Source organism: Homo sapiens, chromosome 13, assembly GCF_000001405.40.
Source record: "Homo sapiens chromosome 13, GRCh38.p14 Primary Assembly".
Classification (NCBI taxonomy): domain Eukaryota; kingdom Metazoa; phylum Chordata; class Mammalia; order Primates; family Hominidae; genus Homo; species Homo sapiens.
Window position 1 is genome coordinate 98,948,365 of NC_000013.11, and position 25,853 is coordinate 98,974,217.

The 25,853-nt window shown below is 43.8% G+C and overlaps 1 protein-coding gene and 1 pseudogene across 43 annotated transcripts in view; both read right to left on the minus strand.

Annotated features, from left to right (window-relative positions):
- Window positions 1-25,853, minus strand: part of DOCK9 (dedicator of cytokinesis 9) — a 295,191-nt gene that overhangs the window by 154,936 nt on the left and 114,402 nt on the right. For all 43 annotated transcript variants that reach the window (XM_047430231.1, XM_005254035.4, XM_006719937.4 and 40 more), the window contains exon 2: window positions 7,071-7,187. In XM_047430231.1, the coding sequence (XP_047286187.1) occupies window positions 7,071-7,187 (117 nt within the window). The remainder of the gene's footprint in view (window positions 1-7,070; window positions 7,188-25,853) is intronic.
- On the minus strand, window positions 1,214-2,092 carry RPL7L1P12 (RPL7L1 pseudogene 12; annotated as a pseudogene).

Here is a 25,853-nt window from a genome sequence, read left to right on the forward strand (position 1 = left end):
TTCTCTTGCTAAGACATTTATATAGGTAATACACCATGAATATCAGTGGGAAAAGCACCTAAGGACTCACTCCTCAACCTGATTTTGCAAACAGTTCTAAGGATGACAACAGTTTCCCACCCATAAATATAGCACAGAAATCCTATAACGAAATCCTATGCTTTTTAAAAATCATTATTTTAAATACATAAAACACAAAATATACCATCTTAACCATTTTTAAGTGTACAGTTCAATGGCATTAAGTACATTCTCATTTTTCAACCATCACCACCATCCATCTCCAAAACTCTTTTCATCTTTCCAACTGCGTCTCTGTTCCCATTGAACAATAACTCCCCATTGCTCCCCACCTCCATCCCTAGTAACCAGCATTCTACTTTCTGCCTCTAATGAATTTGATTCTTTAGGGACCTTACATAGGTGGAATTGAACAGTATTTGTCCTTCTGTCACTGGCTTATCCACTGAGCATAACCTCCTCAGGGTCCATCCATATTGTAACATGGGACAGGAGTTTCTTCCCTTTTCAGGCTGAATAATATTCCATTTTTTGTAAACACCACATTTTCTTTCTCCATTTATCCCTCGATGGACACTTGGGTTGCTTCCCGCTTTCGGCTACTGTAAATAATGCTGATCTCAATAGGGGTGAACAAATCTCTCTTTGAGTCCCTGCTTCCAAGTCTTTGGGGCATATATCCAGAAGTGGTATACAACATGCTTTGAGACAGGGTTTCCCTCTGTCACCCAGGCTGGACCGCAGCAGCACAATCATGGCTCACTGCAGCCTCAACCTGTTGGGCTCAAGTGATCCTCCCACCTCAGCCTCCCAAGTCGCTGGGACCACAGGTTTGCGCCACCATGCCCGGCTAATTTTTTCTTTTTTTCCAGAGACAACTGAGTATTTATTTTTGTACCTTTCTTCCTATGTGTATTTCAAGTCTTCAAAACAAGGCCCCAGGAACCTCCAGACTCAATTATGCCCCTGGGCTTGGTCCACTGTTACAGGAGTCTTACAGAGCCTTGTACATAGCTTGAGTTACTCATTCACAATAATAAACCATAAGACAAAAGATGCAACTAAGCAGAACTCCCTCCTCCATTCCTCCATGGCAGATGCTGATTTCAGATGAGGGGGCAGCCAATGTAGAAAACATTGGAATTTTTCCTTGGAAATGACTGTGATGAGAGGTGTCTGCCATGAACATCACCTACTGTCTTTTCTTCGACCCTTCCTTTCCAGTTTTTGAAGATTAAGCAGGAAATAATCTTATCTGAAGATACTTGATAATAATTCCAAAAAAACCCAAAACACACGCTTCCACTACACTGTGCTTTCAGATATTCTGGGTTGGGTTCAGCTGGTGGATGAGCTGATTGATGTGTTCACCCCAGGTGAGGCCATCTCCTTGAGGAAGCCCACTCTATTCTTGGTAGCATGATGGGCCACCGAGAGGTGGAAAGGGTGCAAGACCCATGAGATCTCCTGGAAATACTTCCCTGGGAAGGCAATTTCATGTATGAGGTCTCCCAGGCAAATGACACCAAACTCCCCCAGGTGCTCCTCAATTGCTGTGCTGTCTGTCAGAGGGATGGTCTCATTCTTGACCTTGGCTTGTTCATGTTTCAAAATGAGTTCTTGGACAGACTTTAGATTGGAAATCCCCAGTTCACATAAGGTTCTACTATAAGCAACATTTTAGGCTCTTTGGGGTGACTTTTACAAAGATACCACTGAAAATTTTCTTCAGGCAAAGTCTTGCAATGGTTCTCTGCACCAGTGAAGTCACACCATTAATTCTTTGGATGCGTAAAACAAAGGCCAAGGAATGTTTATCTGGCAATTCCAAGGCATGAGGTTTCACTTCTAGTTGTCTGAGATGCAGCTTGTCGTGTTTCTGCCACGAGGAATCATATAGGAATGATTCCAGTCGCTTAAACCTGAGCTGTTTTCCTTTCTTCTGCTCCTTCTTTGCTAAAAGTGCCTGCTTTGCCTGAGTGGCTTTGAGGGCTTGATAAGCCTTCCTCTTTTTCAGATTTTCTAGAACCAAAGGGATTTTTCTTTGCTCTTGCTCTGCCATCTTTCTAGTATCTAATATTTTTTAAATTTATTTTTTGTAGAGACGAGGTCTTGCTGTGCTGTCCAGGGTGGTCTTGAACTTCTAGGCTTAAGCAATCCTCCCACCTTGGTCACCCAAAGTGCTGGGGTTACAGGCGTGAGCCAACGAACCCGGCCCAACACGCTCTTTTTATCCTTCCATACAAGCTCTGTCCTCTGTTTGTTTACACCAGACACCAAAGTCTAATTTTTATGAAATATGAATGGTAGCTTAAATTGTCTCCCAACATTCTTACTACTCACTACCTTTCTCATATACTGTCACTTTACATAGTCGCACAAGCATAAGTAAGCTGTGTAACAAGTCAGGATACAAGGAGCTTAAAAGCCAGATGAAGATGCCGTCGGTTAATCGCAGGGTTAACAATGTCCCCACCAACAGGACCATCTGGTAAAAAGACCTCCACTTGAAGAAGAATCGTCATTGGAAATCAATAGTCAGCTGCCACCCAAATCCCATGTCTTTGATGGAAAAGGCAGGCGTCCTGGGCTTGACTTTCAGTTAAACAGAGGCTCATCATGTCTTAAGCGACAAGTCAACTTATACAGCTTGACCTAAAACCTTTTAATCTAAAGGTCATTACCTCTGTCTAACTGCTTGTTAAAGTTTACCTCTAACTTTGCTCATGGAAAAAGTAAGTTCTCAGATTTACGCCAAATAAACTGGGTAAGACAACAAAACAATAAGAAAAATAAAGGTTTATTAATCACTAGGAAAAAATACTCCTCTCCAGTCCCTGTTTTACCTGCATTTTTTAATTTTAGAAATTACCTACTTCTGCCAAACCAAATCATTGATCCTGCAAATATTTTTACAAATCTAGTCGCTGGGACTATCACATGTTCCAAACAGTATTAATATTTACTTGATGAATCAAAGAAAATAACCTAATGCTTGTAAAAATTTTACTATTAGTAAGGTAAGCAATGGGTATTCAACCCTAGCACCTAGCAAGAAAGGGATTTTGTGCATGTGTAGGTGGGCAGGTGGGTGGGAGAACAGAGGCTCAAAGCCAGCCCTTCTCAGGACCACAGCACGGGGCGGGATGCCTGCGTGCAAGAAGCCTAAGAAGTAGGTCGTGAACAGCCAAGACCACATACTCAAGTGTTTATGTGCACGGTGCAGACAGGCAGTAGGAAAGGAATTGAGACAGTGGGGGGAAAAGTTTCTGTGGACTTAAATAGCTTCAGACAATATGGGATTTCAAGTGGTCTCTAAAGGGTAGGAAAGATCTAGAAGAGAAGATGCTGCTGGCAAGGAGAACCATGAAGCCAAAGCACAGATGGCAGAGATCCCCAAGCGACAGGATCTGATTCTGCAAAAAGAAGGGCCATCAGCTAGTGACGGCTGCAGGCCCCATGGCATTCCTGTCCCTGGCCATGGCAGATCACATGTACTTTACTTCATTAATATTCCCTTTTTTTTTTTGAGATGGAGTTTTCCTCTTGTCCCCCAGGCTGGAGTGCAATGGCGCGATCTTGGCTCACTGCAACCTCCACCTCCCAGGTTCAAGCGATTCTCTTGCCTCAGCCTCCCAAGTAGCTGGGATTATAGGTGCCCACCACCATGCCTGGCTAATTTTTGTATTTTTAGTAGAGACGGGGTTTTGCCATGTTGGCCAGGCTGGTCTCAAACACCTGACCTCAGGTGATCCACCTGCCTCGGACTCCCAATGTGCTGGGATTACAGGTGTGAGCCACCGTGCCCAGCCTACTTCATCAATAACCTGATGGCTGGGAACTATTATTTTGATTTTTTGTTTGTTTTGAGATGGAGTCTCACTCTGTCGCCCAGGCTGGAATGCAGTGGCACGATCTCAGCTTACTGCAACCTCTGTCTCCTGGTTTCAAGAGATTCTCCTGCCTCAGCCTCCCGAGTAGCTGGGATTACAGGCATGCACCACCATGCCTGGCTAATTTTTGTATTTTCTGGTAGAGATGGGGTTTCACCATATTGGCCAGGCTGGTCTCAAACTCCTGACCTTGTGATCTGCCCACCTCGGCCTCCCAAAGTGCTGGGATTACAGGCATGAGCCAGTGCGCCTGGCCTATTCTTTTGATTTTTAAAAATCCACGTTTACTTCATGTCTCTCTTCTTTGCTGCTGTTGTAGTAACTACTCTTCTGTCATCCTCAGGCAACTACATGCAACCCGCAAATCTTTTCTTGACACAACTCATTTTTAGAGAACATGTAGATGCCTTTAGGATCTGACCAGTAAAGGCTCAAGATCAACATGTGCCTACTTGAAAAATGTACACAAGCATCACCACTATCCATGCTTATATTTTAGTAAATTGTCATTTCAAATATATTTGGCAGAAATGGACACCAAGTTCTATTATTTTAATAGTTAACTTATACTGCTAAATTATTTAAGTGCAGTAAATCACCCCTCAGCATGCGTTTTGCTGCTGCCATTTCCTAACCAACTTGGTATTACTTTTCCATATGAAATAAAACACTTTCCCCAATCTAATTTGTTCCCTCTGCCTCTAATAATACAATAATTCTGCTCTTATTCTGCCTAAGAAAACACAGATAGAAAGAATCTGTGGCACTGTTAAGACCTTTCACTCATCCAGCTAATTAGACAGTTAATAACATCACTGAGACAATTTAACAAGAAAGCACAGAGTACATGGCTTTACCTGATAAGAAAGTGGGAGTCTATAAGAAAACAAATAATTGTACCCAAACTTCACTGGGGCCCATCACAATTCCTGTGATGAGGATTAAAGCTCCAATTCAAGCTCCTAAATCTCTAGGAAAACTTCTCCCCAAACAGAAAATAATATTTGCTCATCACCTTAGCCAACAAAATGCTAGTGAGTTCTTTGCCTTTCCTAGAATATTTGTGCCTGCTATCACCAGAGTAGTTAAAAGCAAAGGGGACACAGAAGTTTTCTCAAAGTTTAAACTGTCTGATTCTGCAACTGCTTAAACATCCAGATACCTGTTCCCCTGGGATAAAGATGACACTCAACTAACTGTATCTCGTTTCTTTGGTTTGTTTCTTAAGCAATTTTATCTCAGTCATACAAATAGAATTTTTCATTCTAGGTTGCAAACTCAAAAAAGTTGTTACTTTAATTAATACCAAGAAGAACACATACTTCATGTTGAGAGAAATTTGAGATAACCTTTAGCTTCCTCAGACAACACTACAGGAAAATCTTGTCAACATGCAGTACAATTTATAATCATTTGATTTTGCTTTTCATTTGTTGCCAAATCACAGGCAAAAGGCATCATTCAGAGGTTCTCATTTATTAGTCCGTTCCCATGCAGTTTAGTCATGAAATGAAGTATGCAAAGCATGGTATTGTTTGGCATGACCTCAACCCATTTACCTGTTACTTTGGTAGCAACACCACACGAATGGTCAATTTCATTCCCATGGGCATTCCTTTTATGCAGGACAGAGCTAAAGAATAATCATTTTGGGGCCCAGGTATCTCTAACAAGTTAGAAAGAGTGAACATTTGTGAAAATTCTCACCTCTGTTGTAAGCTGGAGTCGCTTAAATTTGGTGGGAAAAAACCTTCAAGGATCGTAATTTAACAATTTCTATTAACATGGAAGTTTCTAAAGACAAGTATGCACAGAGCTGTATACAGTTAAGTCATGTTCTGTGGGATGGGATTAGAAGGCGTGGGGAGGCTTTTCATGTCAATTATTTCAATATTTCCCTCTCATTTATCTTTTTGTACATGGATGTAACACTTTTGGAATCAAACAACAAAGAATCAGTGAAGCTTAAAAAAAAAAAGGCAGCTCGATTCACAAAAGACAGGGCTTAAATGGTAACAGCATCAGGTAGAGAAGTGTCCAACTAAGAGCATCAAAGGAGAGGAGAAAGAAGTGCCAGGATCAGGTCCCAGGAGAGCAAGGAAAGTAACCAGAACCTCCAAATGGACCAAGGTGGCTCGCTGCAAGGCATTTAACACCACCGGGTTTCCTGGAGGAAGAATGTCATTCTCATTCCTCAACAGCCTCACAGCTTCTTGTTAGTCTCTTAACCACAGGCCATAGCCTGAAAGAGCGGCACACAGCAGGAGCTGTGCTGAGTCCTCCACATTTCTTCCAAGGAACAGCACCCACATTACACTACAGAGGTAAACTTCAGGCCATTCTTGGCTAACCTTGAACGCTTTGCTGGGAGCCCACACAGAGTGCAGGGCCTCTGAAGGCAGGCTCCCAAATGCCATCCTAAAAAAAGGCATGACGAAATCTCCCACTGCTCCCCAGCAAAGCCCATCATTAAGATTCTAAGGTACTTGGCCAAAAAATCTAAATCAAAACAAATCTCAAAAGACAGAAAGGCACTTGTGCCCACTAAATCAGCCCAGACAGAGTATAGCACTTTTATTCAAGATACACACACACACACACACACACACACACACACACATTTTGGCATACTTATAATTAATATGCAAAAATAATACCATTAAAAATTATCAACTCATGAAGGATGCTTGGAAGAATATAAAATAACTTTTCTTTCTTAAATAACATCTTATTTTCATCTTTTAAAAACCATAATTAGGCCGGGCACAGTGGCTCATGCCTATAATCCCAACATTTTGAGAGGCCAAGGCAGATAGATCACTTAAGGCCAGGAGTTTGGGACGACCCTGGCCACCGTGGCAAAACCCTGTCTCTAATACAAAGACAAAAATTAGCCAGGCATGGTGGCACACGCCTGTAATCCCAGTTACTTGAGAGGCTGAGGCAGGAGAAATGCTTGAACCCAGGAGGCGGAGGTTGCCGTTGAGCCAAGATGGCACCACTGCACTCAAGCCTGCGTGACAGAGCAAGACTGTGTCTCAAAAAAAATAATAATAATAATAATTAACTAACCAAACAATAAATCAATACATAGAAAAATACTGCTTGTTAAGATCAAACACGTGGTTCTACGGATAGAAACATAACGTTACTTACCTGAAAGTCATCGTAAGGGAAGAGCAGCATCTCCCGTAAACAGTCGTTCAGGATCTGAGTCTTCTTCTGGACGATGACATTTTCATAGTCGAGTGGCTCAATTAGCTTTGGCTTTGCCTGGAGGGCGAAAAGATAAGCAAGACATTCTCATACACAAATGCCATTTCTTAAGATAAAGAACTTAGTATGTTCTACTCTATGTTTTGTATTTTCTACAATTAGAGTATGCTAGTTTTGGTATCACAAAGAAACAGAAATAAGAGTTGTTTCCAAAGGGACAAAAAATGCTGGGTGGTGTCCTGCTACACAGAGTGATGCTTGTTCAGTTATTTAAGCACAAAGGAAGCTCTGCATTCTGGTGGAGCTTCCAGTCATTTCTCGGGTCATCCCTGACTAGCTATGTCCCCTTCCAAGCTTTAGGGTGTGCCAGAGTTGCCCTGGTTAGGTGTCCAGCCATGGCCTGGCAGTTGAGGCCAGATGCCCAGAACGGCTCCAGCCACGATACCATCCCTCCTTGGCCCAGGGCCTAAATGTATCCACAGGACTCATTATTTCAGACAAGGGGCTCCAAGACGCCCTTCTCTGAGTCTCAAAATATCCCTGCCTATCCCCAGATATCTATACTTAATATGTAATACCTAAAGGTAGAAAGATAATGAGCTGAGCCCAAACCAGCCAAGAGGCTGGGTCACAGCCAGGGGGGCAGGTACTACTTAAACCAGGGCTCATGGGTGAATCCGAGGGGATGGGGACGTCCATCCCTAGCATGCACTGAGCAGGAAAAAGAGGTAACGAGTAAGTAGGGAAGAAGAGAATATGGCTTTTCTAGCTATTTCCAAAGTTAGCTCTCTTGGTTAAAATCCCTTTATCTATCGCCAGTCACTGCCACCTTGTTTATGGCTCGCTTTCCACATGCGAGGCATTGACTGGGCTAGGTTAGGGATAAAAATACATATTCAACTAACTATACTACAGTATGCCAAATGCTAAAATAGGCATATAGAAGATGTTATCAGAAGTAACTAAGTCCAGGGCAGGCGTGGTGGCTCACACCCGTAATCTCAGCACTTTGAGGGCCGAGATGGGTGGGTCACCTGAGGTTAGGAGTTAGAGACCAGCCTGGCCAACACGATGAAACCCTGTCACTACAAAAAGTATAAAAATTAGCCAGGCGTGGTGGCATACGCTTGTAATCCCAGCTACTCGGGAGGCCGAGGCACGAGAATTACTTGAACTGGGGAGGCGGAGGTTGCAGTGAGCTGAGATCACACCATTGCACTCCAGCCTGGGTGACAGAGCAAGACTCCATCTCAAAAAACAAAAATTAAAAAAAAAGTAAGTCCATTATATCAATAGTTACTAGAAGATTATTTTTGAAACTATAATCATCTGATATATACAATCTCAATAAATGCTTTATATATTAAAATGACAATTTTTATATAAGAAGTATATTAAGGATATTTCGTATGTGGCATCCAAATTGGCAATTGTGACTGAGGCTTGCTATTTGTTTCCAAAACCTGTCTCCTTTCCAATACAGGTGGACCACATTTCCCAGCCTCCTTGTGTTTTGGTGCACCCATGTGACTGTCTTCTAACCAATTTTATTCGAGTGGAAAAGATGTGGCCACTGCCTCATCTGGCCCACAAAAGCCTTCCACGTGGCCCCTCCTCCTTCCCTCTGCAGCCACGCACACAGGATCCAACGCAGAACTGGGTGGCCTGAGGAAAGGATGGAGCCTAAGATGGAAAGAGTCTGGGTCCTGAATCCCCTTGTAGAAGACCGCCTGCTTAAACAGGCACTGAAATGCCCCAGGAGCAAGAACTGAAACACCTACTGTGTTCAGCTGCTGAGATTCTGGAGTTGCCTGAAGTAGCAGTCAACTTGCTTTGCCTATTGCACATATACATGCTCATATTTAACTCCAATTACTTGATTTAACAACACTCTACAAAGATGTTTTGACATGCTAAGAAAAAAAGCAATGACCAAACAAGTACACAATTATTATAATTAAGTAAAATATGTGCTATGTGGACAGAGACTAAAAATATGCAAAATCAAAAAAATTAAAGCTATAAAGTGTTGGTAACAGTAAACTGTATTTACATTCAAAAAAGGAAAAAAAAAAAACTTTATACAAATTATTTTTAAATAAGAATTGCCCAGAAAATTTTTTTCAAAATATTTTAATTAAAAAAAAAAAGATTTACTCTTTTATTTGTTTGTCATACTGCATAGAGTAACCAGTCAATAAATGCTTGCTGGCAAAATGAATGGATGTCGTGATTAATAACATTTTCCCTAGGAACCGTAACCATATTCCTAATAAAACCCAAATATGCACACAGCTTTCTAAAATTCCATTACAAAGAGGTCAGATGGACCAATACTGCAGACTGGGGCAGACTCCATGTTCTCCCTGGCTTATGTGGTGGCTGCCCCATAACCACAGGCCAGGGAGACTCTTTCATGACAGCCCCAGCTGCCTGCACAGGCACAGGCACAGGCACAGGCTGGGCAGGGCTGAATCCTCAGCTGGGTGCAGCCCCCTTGGCTCCACTCTCCCCAGGTAAGGCCCATGATTCTTCAGACTGCCAGAAGGCAGAGGTGCATTGTGAGCCCTGGACAGGGGGTTGGAGGGACACTGCTGAGAATGGGCTGTTCCCAGGTGCCAATGTTATTAGGTTTGGGGATTTTTTGGGCTTTGTTCCTACAGCAGGGCAGCCAGGAGGCTTTCTGGGAGAGACAAAGGGCACACCCTCCAGGAAGCTGCACTGGCATCCCTGCGGGCAGCCATCTAAAAAGCCCTGCTGCCACCCCTTCAGCAGCTTCCCCCCAGTGGGTGGCTCCCTGCCCACCAGCTCCAGCCCACGGCACCTCAGCAAACTTGGCCACCAGCCACCATTGCTGGGCCACAACCACACTCTCCAGCTAGGCCTGAATCTCTGCCTTGGGTGGGGGTGAGAGGCTCTTCCCAGTTTGTTCCTTCCTTGGGGATCTCTGTTCCCGAACTTACTATTCTTGTATTCTTAGAGCAGGAGTCGACAACTCTTTCTGTAAAGGACTTTGCCAGCCTTACAGTTTCTGTCACAACTGGTAAACTCTGCCATTGCGGCACAAAAGCAGCCACAGACAATAAGTAAACACATGGGCATGGCAGTGTTACAATAAAACTTTATTTATAAAAACAGGCAGCAGCCAGATTTTGCCCAAGGGCACAGCCTGCTTTAGAGTTATCTTTACCCCCTAATAGAGTTAATCCCCTTTCACCAATTTAGTAATTCTTTATATTAATTTTCCATGTTCAATTATTGATGTGTTTCCTGTCTCTGGACATATAAGATACAGATATGTTTACAACTCTTAACATATTTAATGATTTTTTTGCATCTATCTGATTAAACTTGGGTTGCTTAAAATGTTTGATAATAAAAATATTCATGGGTCAGTTTCATGTATTTAGGGCACCAAATAATACTTTAATTAGATGAATTTCTGTTTCCCCCCAAGGTGTATCTTGGAGGTATCTAATGAAAGGATGCAATGTTGTGGCTACTGTCTTCCTTTTGTGTGACAAAGTGTAACTTTCAAGGTGTTTTTACTGTCACAATTACCACTCAACAACTGAGGCTGGAAACTGAGGATCTCAAGTTAAGCTAATTGCTACAAGTGTCCCACCAAGTACCCAGCAGGACTGGATTGGGACAGGACACAGTCTTCTGTTAAACAGAACTCTTTCTTCTCCCATACTGGGCTGCCCTTTGAACAATGTGTGCTTAGCAATACTCAACCATAGTAAATGTGTGAAAGACAGTTTATAAGCCAACATTTCTGTTAAAGACTGGTCATGCAGTACCATGACCAGGAAAACTCATGGTACTGACTGAAAAATAAGAGAAATCTTATGGAGGATTAACATGAATCAAGGACTATAAAAATTTTCAACTTGTACAAACCCTACCTCAGGTCACTTAATGAAAGAACTCCTAGTGACCTCATAGGGCAGAGGTCTTCAGCAGCTGCTGGAAGCACTTCCGGGACACATGACTGACTCCAGGGAAAAGGGATCAACTGGGAGTGGCTCACCTGCTGCCTAAGTTAAGAACAAGGCAAAAAGCTCTTGCTTCAAATACAAATACTGGGCACAATGCCTCCCTTCTACAGGTGTCCTTTGACGGGGGAAAGAAAGAAACAATCAGAGGAGAATGGGTGGAGAACAGAGACTGGTGAGGGAGACAGGGAAAAGGGAGCAGAAGGAGATGCAGGGGAGGAAAACGAAAAGAGAGGCAGGGATGGAGCCACCCTGGGGAGGAAACTGAAGACAGAAATGGCAGAAGAGAGGGGCTTGGGAGACTTGGAGGTGGATCTGTGGGAAGTCACACCACTGTATCTACCAAATTGTGGGTTAAGAGGATAATTGCCTATTTTCAACTCTTTTTTAAACTGTGATTCACTGGTGACAGCTGTTCACTGTTCTTCAGCCCCGCTAAGCTTTTCCAGGTGCTGGTGGGGCATGGAGGCGGGGACAGCCCACTAGGGTAGGGAACTGATTGGCCTGAGACATGATTAGTGACAAGAACATCACGCTAACAGCAAAATGACATAGGCTAATTACCAGACTGCCGGTCCCCACTATTATTTGCAAGAACGAGGCCTGGCACAGATCTGGCACACAGCCGTGGTTTTAAAGCTATCGCAACATGCTCAAATTCAATTCTTCCCTTGGTGACAGACTTCCGAGGGAGAAGTTCTTAATTTTCTATCTTCAAAAGAAAACCAGAATTACCCAAATTCTGGTTGTTGGTGGAGCTGCTCCGGGGCCATCAGCACCATCATGTTTGAAACCCTGAGAATTCATGAGTTTGAATTGTGAATATTTCAGGATACTATTTTTCCCTAAGCATGGTGAGGCCTGGCTGACTCCCAAGCCTATGACATTCAGAACATACACACTGGGTGACTGCTGCTTTTATAGTGTATAAAAATCTAACTTGGTCTATGTACAAGTCCTTCAGCTTTCCCCGTCACGTAGAGGCTCAAGTCCTTATCTGTGAACATTCATTCCTCAGGCTTCCTGTGAAATCAGAAAGGGAGAGGGCGTACTTTCAGTCCACAAATAGTCCATAACGGTGGTTCTGAAAGTGATTTCCCGTGAAATCAGAAAGGGAGAGGTAGTACCTTCAGTTCACAAATAGTCCACAACAGTGGTTCTGAAAGTGGGTTCCCAGGAACTGGTGATTCAGCGTCGCCTGGGAACTGGTTACAAACGTAAATTCTGAGGCCCCAGTCCAGAGCCAAGTCAGGAGCTCCAGGAGCAGGGACCAACTACCTATACTTGAACATGCTCTCCAGGGGATTCTGGAAAAACCCTGATCAATCATGATGCCCCAGGAACTACATTAGAATTTTCAGTTTCAGGGAGGAAGAAGAAACAAGGCCGGTACTGAGCCTTCTCAAGGTTACAGACCCCTTTGAGAGCCTGGATCTTCTCCCCCTGAAAATTGTATACATTCTTTGCTTTCTATGATTGTATACACAGCTTTGAGGGGAGGGCTGTAATTCCCTGGAGAGTGGTCATGTGGAACTGAGTTGAAGCAGCCCTGGGCTAGTGGAAGAGCCAGGCCTGTAAACATGTAGCTCAACGTAGTGAGAGGTACTGGCAGAAGTTAAATGCAGAGCTAAGGTCAAGCCCATTGCCCTCCATGGGCTGTTAAGTTTCTTCACTTTACTAAGGAAGGGATGCTTGGAGAGAGCAAAGAAGAATGAGAATTCTTCAAGTGGGCAAAAGTTTGAACTCCCTACCAACAACAGAGCCCCCACTTAGCTAGGCAGATGCAAGGTTTCCAGTCTCATGGTAAGCCCGGGGGCCCGCCCAGCAAAGAGGCAATGTTGCGTCCACTGTTTCTGACACGAGCCAGCTCCAGTCCCTCCCTCTACAGGGATAATGTGCCCCTCCCACCTCTACACCTGTCACAGTCCTGCAGCCCCTTGGGTGACGGTCTACAAAGAACGCAAATGTGGCAATGCAGCAAAAAAGTTAAAGCCAAGCTGCTCTAGCCCCAGGCAGGCATATAGCACTTCGCATGTAACTGGGGGGCCACCTCCCTCCTCCCCACAAAGGTGGCCTTTGGCGCCTTGCTGCCACATCCTTACTTAGCAGCAGTCCTGGGATGCCTCTCATGACAGTCCTCGGCTTGCTGTGACCTGCAAACACTCAGCTCCACTATCAGTGCCTCAGGGCAGGGCTGAGTCTTGTTATCTTTGCCACCCTCAGCATCCCACTCAGGCCCCAGGGACACGTCCTGTGGGGCTAAAAGAGCTTGCCAGTGGTTCCCATACAGCTCCATTGTTGCTGGGCACCTTGGCTTAGGAAGATTTCCAGGAACGTGCCCACTGTGTCCACCCAATGTCATGACACAGAAGATGGGACGCCATGGCACAATTCAGACATGTTCTAAGGTATGTGGCCCCAGGACTACTTGGCGGTATGTAAGATTAGTCATTGCACAAACTGAGAATGCCCCCAAACTGCATTGCTCATGTACAAAAGAAACCTCACAGAAGCTTTTCCAATCCTAAAAATTCCTGTGACATTCCCAGATGTTGTGGAACTAGAAGAAACTTTTCTAAACTCTCAATAATAAAATACAAATTTGGACTAATCATGCCAAGGGAAACACTGATCTGTTCTTGCAATGAAGAATGATAATACAAAATCATGATCATATGAAGAGGCAATAAAAGAATATGAAGCCCTAAAACTATAGGGAAGTAGTATGGAGGTGTATCTAGAGGTTCATTGATAAAAATGTGTTGTTTCCCTGGATTTCTGGTGTTTATGGCTTGTGTTAGCTTTTTAAAATTTCTTTCTTTTTAAATTCTAAATAAATGTTCACCTCCGTGCCTTATTTTGTTTTCAAATGTTGAATTATTTTTCTTAAAGAAAGCCCCTAAAATTCTGTAAGCTTTGTCCCTCACAAAACCTGACTCTGCCCTGATAGGGTCGTGTGTCCACACGAATGCTGACGAGGATGGCAGCATGGTTAGGAAAGCCGAGCTGTGCAGTCATGTGAGGCTGCTGCTGGACTCAACTGAGTCAATGCATGGAAAAGGCAAAGCCTGGCAAACTGTAAACACATATTATAATAAATAGAGCTATTCATATTATTAAATATGTTGCTTGCATGATAGGTTTTAAAAAAAAAAAAAAGAAAAAAAAACTTTCCTTGACCTCCAGAAACATACAAAATAAAACAGGCAATAATGACAGGGACATGCACAAAGGAAGACAAATAATGACCCAATATAGAGAAAACTGCATCCAGACACTGAAATTCAGGGGCTGAACCCAAAGGAAACAGACAGCTGCTTATACCGTAGATGGGACTGAGTATTGCTGTGGTGTGTGCCAGGGAAGACGAAGAATAACCACAGCTGGGGGTGGGCGATAGAGAAAAGCACTTCTGACCCCCTCCCATTAGGGCAGCTCCATGACAGCAGCAGGGTCTTGGATTGTGAAGAAGAGAGCAGGCAGGCAGGACACCCCATGGGACACTGCTCACAGAGGGTTATGTGGCATGATCAGAGTGGGTGGGGAGAAAGAGCTCCTCATCTCAAGGGACAACATGGACACAGGTGAGCCACTGATACCGAGGCCCCGCCAGTCCCCATCTACTGAGCATGGCAGCGGGCAGCATGGCGCGCCTCTAGCAATCACACTTCCCTACACCTCCCATGGGGGCCAGAAAGCAGGACCCCAAAAGGCCCCACCATGATCCCCCCACCCTTCAATCTCTTGGAACTCCCTCCCTCCCACAGCATTTGCTGCTTAGGGTCTGGCGGCCCAACATCATGCAAATTGAAATTCCAGATCAAAAGGCAATCAGAAGCAGGAAATGTTCTTAGTGCCAGGAAAATGAGATTCCTCTGGATCCAGCAGACCTGCACAATGTTCGCCCACAAACTGAGTTCAGTTCTGGCCAAACATGTACAAAACCTCGAAAACCATGGGAAGAGCTAAGCTCCAAAGAGCACAGTAATTTCACTGCTCTTGCCTCGGATGTGATAGCTTCAAATGAACTTTCCAGTCATTTCTTGCCCTTGTGTCTCTGGTGATTAAATGTTAAGAAGAGCTGAAATCCCAAATGCCACTTCTTGAAATAGCAAACTAAATGGCAACTCTTGGAGCTATTTTAAGAAATGAGAAATTCGTCATTTCTGCTTATAAAGAATTTAGGACTTCCTTGATTTATCTGCATGGCTATAAAAGCTACTTGATAGGCTGAGATAAAGTTGGTCCACTTTCAAAGCGCTTCTCAATGTTGCCAACAGGACACCAGTACTGTTGCTGGGGATAGGAAAAAGGAGATGGCAGCTTGCAACAAAAAGGGGCTTCTGAAGCCACGTGCTCACAAGTGTGGGACACACAAGCCTTCCTGCACTCCTATCATGCACGTGACTCTCGCTACGTAGCCCCACCAGGAATTTCTTGAAGTTGTCAAGTTTGCAGGAAGGATCCTCATTTTCCTATAAGTAGGGTGGGCACAGGAAAATAACAGCGGCCTCCCTTCCTTGTGTACACATGTGATTAGCAGTATGAGTTCCCTCTCTCCACAGGTATTTACTGAGCTGGTTCACATGCACTGTGCCAGAGACATCAAGATAAAAAGAACACGGCCCTGCCCCAGGGAGCTGGCAGTCAGAGGGAAGGCACATGTGTGAACAATCAGCAGAATGAATGACAGCAGCAGGGACCAGGAGTGGCATCTGGCCCACTAGAAGGAACCCAACCTTTGCCCAGCTAGATTATAAGCTCCATGAGGGCAAGACAGCCCTATTGTATTTGCTGCTTTCTCCAGCACCTAGAACAGCACCCAGCATAGCAGAAGCACTCAATAACTGTGTGTTGGATGAGTGAGGGACCCCAATTATGTGGGGTGCTTCTTAAAGGAGGTTCCTGGAGCTGATCAATGAGTTGAACAAGCCAGCCAGGATTCAGGGCAGATTGAGGATTCCCTGCAGAGAAAATTGAGACACCAGGGAGCATGTGCATGGATGGAAGTAGATTTTGTAAGGCCTGAAACATGCACAATTACAGTGAGGTCAAAAAATACAAACTAATAGATATAAAATTGCTGGAATCTCTTCCAGTGCCTTGAAAGGGATCCTGAAACTTAAGCTTCATGAGCTTCATGCTAAATTCTCCCTGAGCATGGTGAGTTCTGGAAGCAGCCAGGAGTTCAGAATAGCTGGATAAGGCTGCATAAAGGGGGCTTGGGGTCCCAGGCTCCACAGGTGCTCTAGCACCATTGGAAATCCAAGGTGATGGGGAAAACTATACTTAGGAGAAAGCCCTTCTGAAAAAGAGACTCCACACAGCTGCTACCTGAGGTGAGCAGCAGGCCTCCCAGATGGACGTGCTTGAGGAGCACCGGATGGGCCAGTGCCCTCCCATCCTGCTTCCTCTGCAAGGATGGATAACACTGGAGTCAGAGAGCAACACTCCTCACAAGAGCCCCCTGCTCCACCTTCACCCATACAGCCCTCAGTCTCTCCTCTGAAGTAAGCAAATATTGGAATAGTGTTCATTTGAGGGGGTACCAATGATTAGCTCACCTGGGGTGCCTACATGTGCCAAAGCCACCCCTGGACTATAGCCTGCAGGGAGAGATGAGGCCGGAGTGGCAGGTAGGGCCACAGTAAGAAGGGCCCTCAGGAAGGCCACAAACAGGAGGAGGGGTGGAGAGACACACAGGAAGGTCCCACGCCATCCTCCAGTGGAAGAAAGAAGCCCTCCATCAGCTTGTCACAGACATGCTCTTCTGTCCCTAACTCAGGACATTACAACTAGTAGATGGTGAAAATCAAGATAGAATCCCACTCTCATTCAGTAGTATATGTTCTTCTCCAGACTGCTCCTGAGTGTCTGTAGGGACAATGATCTAGAAGCTGTTTGGAAGCATGCTTTTTAAAAGGTACTACAGATTCAGTAATACAGCTTAAAAGCTTTTATTTAGCACTACAAGCTTGTGCAAACATCAGAACCTGTGATTATCCAGTCCAGTCTTCTCATTTTACACATTGGGAAACCCAACCCTAGGGACTGCCCTGGGGTCCCAGGAGGAACCTCCTGAGCCCTGGCCCAGGATCTTGTCTCAGCCCGTACTAAAACGATGCCTACATTTTAATTTTGCACTTTCATTGACAATGTGCATACACATGTAATCTAAATACTAGAGGAAAAAGGAAAACTTACCTAAACTTAGATTTAGAAATAAGCTCAAACCTGAGTGTTAAACTACAGCAGTTAATGCTTTGGAGAATATTTGGAAGAATGCATAAGAAACACCAAACTCCCAGACATCTAAATATATTTTTCATGCTCCAGTGTGGTGTTATCCTAAGAACAGACTAACACCAACAATTAGACATTTGTGAATGCAGTTTTTTATATTATAAACACTAACACGATGTTGAATTTCCTTTTTATACAGCAGTTATACAGATTTGACAAATCTGACAAAATCTGATTTTGTCAAATCAATAGCACCTGAAATAGGTAAGAGGAACATGATAATGGAAATGGAAATAATAATAAAGACAGGAATAATAATACCAATTAAGGAAAACCTACACAACTCCTCGCCTGCCGTCGTCAGCTGTGCTCGCTGGGGATGCTGCTGAGAATGTCAATGAGGAGAGGAAGACAAGACGGGAATTTAGGAGACTTCCTCCATGTCCTGTGCCCGGGGAGTCACATGAGGAGAGAGCTAGGTGGAACGGGAGCAGCTCCCTTGCAAGTGCAGTGCTTCATGTGTCTTCTCCCTACCCTGATACCGGCCATGGGCCAACACCAGGCCAGGAAGGGTAAAAGGGGAACACAGCGAGAACCAGGTAGAGCGCCTGCAGTGGGCCCAGCATGTGTCTCTCACACACATACAGTAGTCTCGGCTTCTAATTCTGCCTATTTTTTCACATGTGGAAAGAAATAAAATCAAAAAAGAAAAAGATGTGCTATTACAGTTGTATAAATAATTCTATCTCAAATCTAGACTGTAGACTCTTCCAGGCATTTTTCTTCCTTTTTTAGCATTATGACCTAAAATTGTTAATTCTTCCTAGGTCAGTAAAAACAATTTTGGAACTCTGAAATGAAGAGGGCAAGTAATGAAGCTAAAAGGCTCTAAAAGCCAGATTTAGTCAGATTTCAAAACAATGTACTTTAAGCTACTTATTTTAAGATATTGGGGATAGGGAATGGAATATTCATAACACATAGTTCACAAAACAGTTTCTGCAGACTCCACTGCCAGGCAGGCAGTATAGAGACCAGTAAAGGGCAGGTGTTGGGAGTTAGAGTTTAAATCCTAGTCCCAAAAATGTGAACTACTGCCAGAGGTGGTGACAGGTATATGGGAGTTCATTACATCAGTACAATGGTTCTCTAAGTTTGGTCCTGGGCTAGCATCAGCATCACCTGAAACATGTTAGAAATACACATTCACCCCAGGCCCACGGAGTGAGAAGCTCTGAGGTTGGGGCCTCACAGTCTGTGTTAACAAGCCCTTCAGACGATTCTGGTGCCCATTCATGTTTGATAACCACTCTACTAGTCCATCTACTTTCGTGTATGTTTGAGAATTTCATATTAAAACGTATTCTCAAAAAATCCTGGCTTCACTGCCTATTGGCTATGTCACCTTTGGACAAGTTGCTTATTTAACCTTTTAATCTCCATACTTTAATCTAAAGATGGGAAAAGTAACAATTTCTGTTATCATTATCACCAGGTTATTGCCAGGGTTCTACATACAGTGCCTGGACAGTGCACGAATGCACCAAATGGTGGTGGTGGGGACCACACATAGTTATGTGTAGTTCACATTCAATAGAATTTTAGCCCCTACAACATACACACCTTGCTGGATTACACGCATATTGTCTCATTAAACCTCCCCACAACTATATGGTTGCATCATCACCATTTCACTGATGAGGAAACTGACACTTAGAGAATTAGATGGTTTACTGAAGGTCACACAGATGGGTTGATCCTTGGGTCTCCTGGCCCCAAGACCAGGACCTTCCCCATCACACATGAACAGTACGCATGATGGTATTTCAGATTTCTAGAACCAGAAGTGCCTCTCCAATGCCTCTGTTCCTCTTTATATGAGAAATGCTGAACATTGCTCCACACGAGGATGCTTCAGGCTCCACGTCGCCAGGGAGGAGGGAATTCTCCCCACTCTGAGATCTGCCAGGCACTGAACTAACCAGGCTTTACAATCTCACTACAGCAGAGATAAAAAGCAGAGTCCCTTCCAGGAAAATAATCATTTTCCACTTCAAAAATATTAAAAATCCTACTCCAAAATACTAAATCTTTCCAAAGAACCAGGTTTAAATGTCTTCACACATATTAATGCCATTAAGTAGTATGTAATTTATAATACCATCAAATATTTCAAGGCATGACCTTTGTAAGGAAAACTCACATTTAAATCATGCATTTTTTTCCTACAGAAAAAAAAAATCACAAATATTTTTCCTCATCCAGTGACTCGCCCCCAAAATGACAGCTTTTTAGTTTGAGGCTTTTAAGCTAAAGAATGTGTAAGTATAAACCTGCACTGATCGGTGTGGTAGCTACTAGCCACAGGTGACTACTGAGCACTTAAAATGTGACGATTCTAAATTCAGATGTGCTGTAGGCATAAAACAGACACCAAATGTCAATGACATCTTACGAATGAAATATAAAATACCTTTTTTTTAAATAAGAATTTAAAATTGAAATGGTAATATTTTGGAAATACTGGGTTAAAATTATATTACTAAAATTAGTTACACCTTTTTCTTTTTACTTTAACTTGGCTACTAGAAAATTTTAAATTTGACCAGGCGTGGTGGCTCATGCATGTAATCCCAGCACTTTGGGAAGCTGAGGCAGGGGTATCACTTGAGGCCAAGAGTTCGAGACCAGACTGGCCAACATGGTTCACCCCGTCTCTACTAAAAATACAAAAACCAGCCAGATGTGGTGGTGCACACCTGTAATCTCAGCTACTTAGGAGGCTGAGGCACGAGAATTGCTTGCACCCTGGAGGCGGGGGTTGCAGTGAGCCGAGATCACTCCACTGCACTGCAGCCTGGGTGACAGAGCAAGACTCTGTCTCAAAAAATAACAGAGCAGAAATTATATGTATGGCTCATGTTATATTTCTATTAGATAGCACTATTATAGACTGTAAGAAATTTTAATATACAGGTAATTTTTTAAACTTCATGGCAAAACAAAGGACAGTCCACTTCCTGAAATTTTTACTTGGGCAGACAATAGTTTGGAAAAGCATACCACATCAGAGATAAAAGTTAGGTCTAGTCTTGGTTCTATAAAGCAGCAGACCACATTCTCCAGTGTCTCCAATAGGCCCCTCCTTTCTGAACTCTTTCTCCCTGGAAGAGCCATCTTCTCTGCCTGTATCTTGTGGATCTCCACCCTTTCCAGATATAATCAATTTACTGAGAAGCTGTTGTGACAATGTCACATGGTGATTTTTCCAAGTGTACTATGACCATCAAATATGATGTTAGGGTTTCAGGTACGGCTGCCAGGAAGAAGAGGTACTGATAACAGAAAGGGGTGCTGGCTAAGAGAGGAACAGGAAGGGGTTTGACTCTGGGAACCTATGTCTGCACTTCTGTACACAAAAGTACTCTGATAAAATGTTCACCAACATTTTAATAGAGATCAAAATCACAGATGCACAGGAGAGTAAAGGGGCACAATAGCCACGTCCCATGTAAGTCCAGCATGTTCCTCTACTTGCATCCCTTTCTACTTTTTGGCAATTCAAGACATTTGGATATTGATGGCTAAACCTTTGCAGGTGGAAGGGAGGCAAATGAAAACGTGAATGATTTTCAGATCTAGTCTTTCCTGCAGGCCCTTTCGCAACCTTTTTTTGCCTATACATTCCCCAAAGAGTCACCAGGACCATGCTGAGAAGCGGGAGAAAGAAAAAAAAAAGAGCTTTGACATTATATCAGACATCGAATACAAAGAAAACAAAACCACTCGGGTGGTTCTTGTTGGGCAGAAGCCCCGTTAGTGAGGGAGACTGGAGTATAAACCTTCACTACAATAAAGCGGGATGCCTGACAACAAGCTGGAACAACGACGCCATGATGGGCTACAGGAGCACACAGTCTACTGGGAAATGTGGGGAGAGGGTTTGCAAGGGTTTCCCAAAGAAGCTGGCATGTGAACTGGGGCTTGAAGCATAAAATGATGATTTTATCCTTTTAACCAGGGCAGTGCATGCCAGGCAAAGGCAGAGCTGTGCCCAGGTGTGAAAGCACCCCAGGTGGAAGGAAGACTGGAAAGCTGGGGTCAGGGCACATTTTGGAGGCTGCAGGAGATGAGGTCAGCAGGCAAATTCAGGGTCAGCCTTTGTGAATCAAGGAAGCTATGCTTTGCGTTCTCTGCAAAGGAAGAGTCAGAGAAGACTTTTAAGCAGATAATTAACAACTATATCTGTTGGCTGTGTTGTTTTGTGTTTTGCTTTTGAGACAGAGTTTCACTCTGTTGCCCAGGCTGGAGTGCAGTAGCTCCACCATAGCTCACTGTAACCTTGAATTCCTGGGCTCAAGCAATCTTCCCGCCTCATCTTCCCAAATAGCTAGGACTACAGGTCTGCCCCAAGCTGGGTTAATTTTTTTATTTTTTATTTGTGTAAAGACAGGGTCTTGCTATGTTGCCCAGGCTGGTCTCAAACTCCTGGCCTTAAGCAATTCTCTCACCTCAGCCTCACAAAGTACCGGGATGACAGGCCTGAGCTACCACGCCCCACCCGTCTCTGTTTTAGAAAGAGTGGTCTGATAGCACAATGCAGCATGGCTCAGTGTAAGAAAAGACAGAACGTGGTAGTGGAACAGGCAGTCCAGAGAACCTTCAGAGATGGGGGATCTGGAGGGCAGCCACTGCTACTACCTCTGTCTGATATGCAATGCAGTCCTGGCTTAGAAGTGCCAAGTGAGCCTCCTGTGAGTGAGTGCTGGCTCTCTGCATCGCTTGCTGCTGCCTTTCCCTTGGCAGTGACAACTCTCCATATTAAGGAAATCCCAAAGCAGAATACGAGACTGGCTCCTCCCCGGGAACCTGGCAGAGCCCTTGAGACCCACTGGTAAGTGGCACTTACATTTGTCAGGAAAGGGAACGCTGAAAATTTCCAAAGCCTCAAAATGTCATTCTAAAAGAGACTTAGCACTAGTATATCACATTACAGGGTATTTCAAACTTCTGGAAAGTTGGGGGAAAACTATAATTTCCAATCCTTCTTGGTTCTAAAAGTATCCTCACAGTCATATGCTATCTGTAGGCTGGAGCTAGGCTGTCTTGTTATCTCCTGCCTAGAATGCCCTGCTAACTCCAAATTTTTGATTCATTTCCAGGTGGCCAACCCATTCCCTTGGTCTTACTTCTTACACTGGGTGGAATTCCAAGATCCCATTCTGTAGCTCCAACAACTCAAAACCCAAACAATTTTGAATAAACAAAGCTTAAAACCTGAAACTAAAACTCCACAATCCTAAACCTGACTCCATCCCAGGTTATTCTGAGATCAAAGATGCTAACACTAGAGCTTGAGTCCCAGACCTTAGAGATTATGTACGACAGGCTCCTCATTTTACAGGTAAGAAAACTGAAGCCCAGGAGGGTGGTGATCTGCAGAGATTGAGAGGCAGATGCAGGATCAAAATTAGGTCCCTGGTCTCTTGGCCCACCCGTGCCACCAGCCAGCTGGACATTGTTCTGCAGCCTCGTGTTTAGCTGCTACCTTTCCAAGAGTAGAGCACACCTGCACAAATGGCAGCCTCTGTAAACACTATGGGGACCACAGTGCCCATTTTACTAATTAGGGAATAAACATTTCAGGATTAACCTGGATCATCTATAAATTTTTTAAAAAGGAAAATAGGGGCCGGGCGCGGTGGCTCACGCCTGTAGTCCCAGCACTTTGGGAGGCCAAGGTGGGCGGATCACGAAATCAGGACATCGAGACCATCCTGGCTAACACGGTGAAACCCCATCTCTACTAAAAAATACAAAAAACTAGCCGGGTGTTGTGGTGGGTGCTTGTAGTCCCAGCTACTTGGGAGGCTGAGGCAGGAGAATGGCATGAACCCGGAAGGCGGACCTTGCAGTGAACCGAGATCGCACCACTGCACTCCAGCCTGGGTGACAGAGCGAGACTCCATCTCAAAAAGAAAGGAAAATAGGGAGGAAAACGGGATGCCTGCAGATTCTTAGACTCTCACCAGTCTATGCTCCTATGTAACTTTCTGGGAAGATGATAAAATGTAACACCCAAGATAAGAGTGACTCCTGACGGCAGCTCTATTTCATTCATATTTCTTAGTTCTTCACATGACCACCATTGTCTTCATGCTATTCAACCACTGTTGGTTATCACTTATAAACTGGCCTTTCTCTAACAATTTTCAAGTTTTTAAGAGCAGTGTGTTTTTCCTTTCTTGTTTATTGTTACAGTCTCAATGCTAAGCTCAAGTGAATACGTTCATTTTTGTTCATGAATCGTGCATATGTGTCCAGGTATGGATTTTAGAAAACCTGACCCAAAGTCTACAATCCTGGCTCTGCCACTTATTGAATGTGTAACTTTGAGCAAGAGGAAACTGTGCTCAGTTTCCTCGTCTGAAAAAGAATAGAGCCTGCCTCCTAGAGTTGTGAGGATTAATTGAAATAACATTTAGCAGGCATAAAACAGTTCCTGGCACAGAGCAGGGAACCATATAAGTAGTGGCTATTTTTATTATTACATGACTATTGGCATTACCTTGCTATAAAAAAACAGTCACCAGCCATTCTCCCTCCATGCTGATGGCAGATCATGAGAAAATAAATGCCGGAGCTGGGTGGATTTTAGTTTTTAGTTTTCTATACAAGCGATTTTAGTTTCTATACACTGCTACCCAGGAGGTAGCAGTGACTTGGCATGGCAATGAGGTAGGGAACAAACTGCTGAAGCCCCATGTCTGAGATCATTTTCCAGGCCTGGCATGGTAATTAGATTCACTCGGACCCTATCTAAGCATGCACTCCCCAAAGATTCCTTCCACCGACCGCTCCACAAAATAGGTGTGCAGCAGCAGGAGCCTCATGTAACACTGATCACATGAACAGTTAGGGGTTCGGCCTGCGCCTTCTGCAAAGCCTGGCTATGCCTATGTTAGCTGCTAAAAAATCTGAAGCACGTCCTTCCTGGAGCTGCTGATGGTTTAAGTGTTGTCTGCCTAAGTGTCTAGAAAGGACAGGGCGGCATTAACACTCACTGTGCCTGATAAAGATCACATGAAAGCATTCCAGAGGAATGAACCCCTTCCTTCCTCATGCCTTGCTGCCTGGGGAGAGGGAGGGTTTTGATCTTATTTGCCTCAATGCACTGTCCAATAAGATTGGCAAGTCTCCATTCTTGTAAATGTGGGTTGACTGAATTAATGAATAAACAAATGAAACACAAAGAGCATTGTAGTGAAGGTGTATGGCTTTGAATAAATAAAATTTCCTGTTCTTGTCACTAGGAATAGGTCACTATATAAAGCTTTTGGGAACATCTTTCTTTCACCATCCAATATTTTAAAAACAAGGAAACTACTTATTAAATATTATTGATGTAATATCATTATCTTTTTCTAAAGTTGTCTCTAAGGGTGCAGGAAAACCTATAGGGCAGAAAGGCTATTGTCTAAGCATAATTTAATTAACTCAATCACAGTCACCTAAAGTCTAATTGAAAATTAACAACATGATCATTGCCCATAAGCTTATACCTCACTTAGTCTGCTATTTCTAGAGCAAACAGAACTTCAGGGATAGGAAAGATTTTCTAGTCTCATTCCTCCTCTGTCTGAGAGACAGAAGAGTTCCCAGATAAGGTACTGGTGTGTCCAACCAGAAGCCAAGTCCTACTACTACTTTCTACATCAAGTACTCGCACTGCCTTCTCACAGAGTTATTTAGCTAGAGTAATCACGTGGTCATTCAAACATTAAAATAAGAACTAAAATTCTGCTTTTAACACTTGAGGATCCCAGGAAAATATGAGCCACCCAAAAGGTGTCTCTGAAAAGAAACTTTTATTTTCTTTGAGACAAGGTCTTACTCTGTCACCCAGCCTGGAGTCCAGTGGCGTGATCTCTGCTCACTGCAGCCTCAACTCTCCCAGGCTCAAGCAATCCTCCCACCTCAGCCTCTCGAGAAGCTGGGACTATAGGTGCATGCCACCTCGTCTGGCTAATTTTTGTATTTTTTGTAGAGACGGAGTTTCGCCATGTTGCCCAAACTGGTTTTGAACTCCTGAGATCAAGCAATGCCCACCTTGGCCTCCTAAACTGCTGGGATTACAGACTTGAGCCACAGTGCCCGCTGATCCTTTTCAAAAAATACCTTATGAGTACACCTAATAGGAAAATTCAGCTCTTCTCAATCTTCACATCCTTCAACCTTAAAAATTCCCAAAATAAGACCTGTGCTGCAGTCCCTACCAGCCTCACAAAAGGAACCCAATGAAAGGGCTGCATAAATGGCATATAACCCAGCCTTTTTTGGCACTTTGAAGCCACACCTTTTTCCTCTAAACTGTTGAGCAGTAACAATTAGAATAAATTGTTTCCAGGAATTACGTTAGAGTTTTGAAGGGGGGTGGCGGGTAGGGGGTAAAAATAGGTATTCAAATGTGAGCAGGGAAACT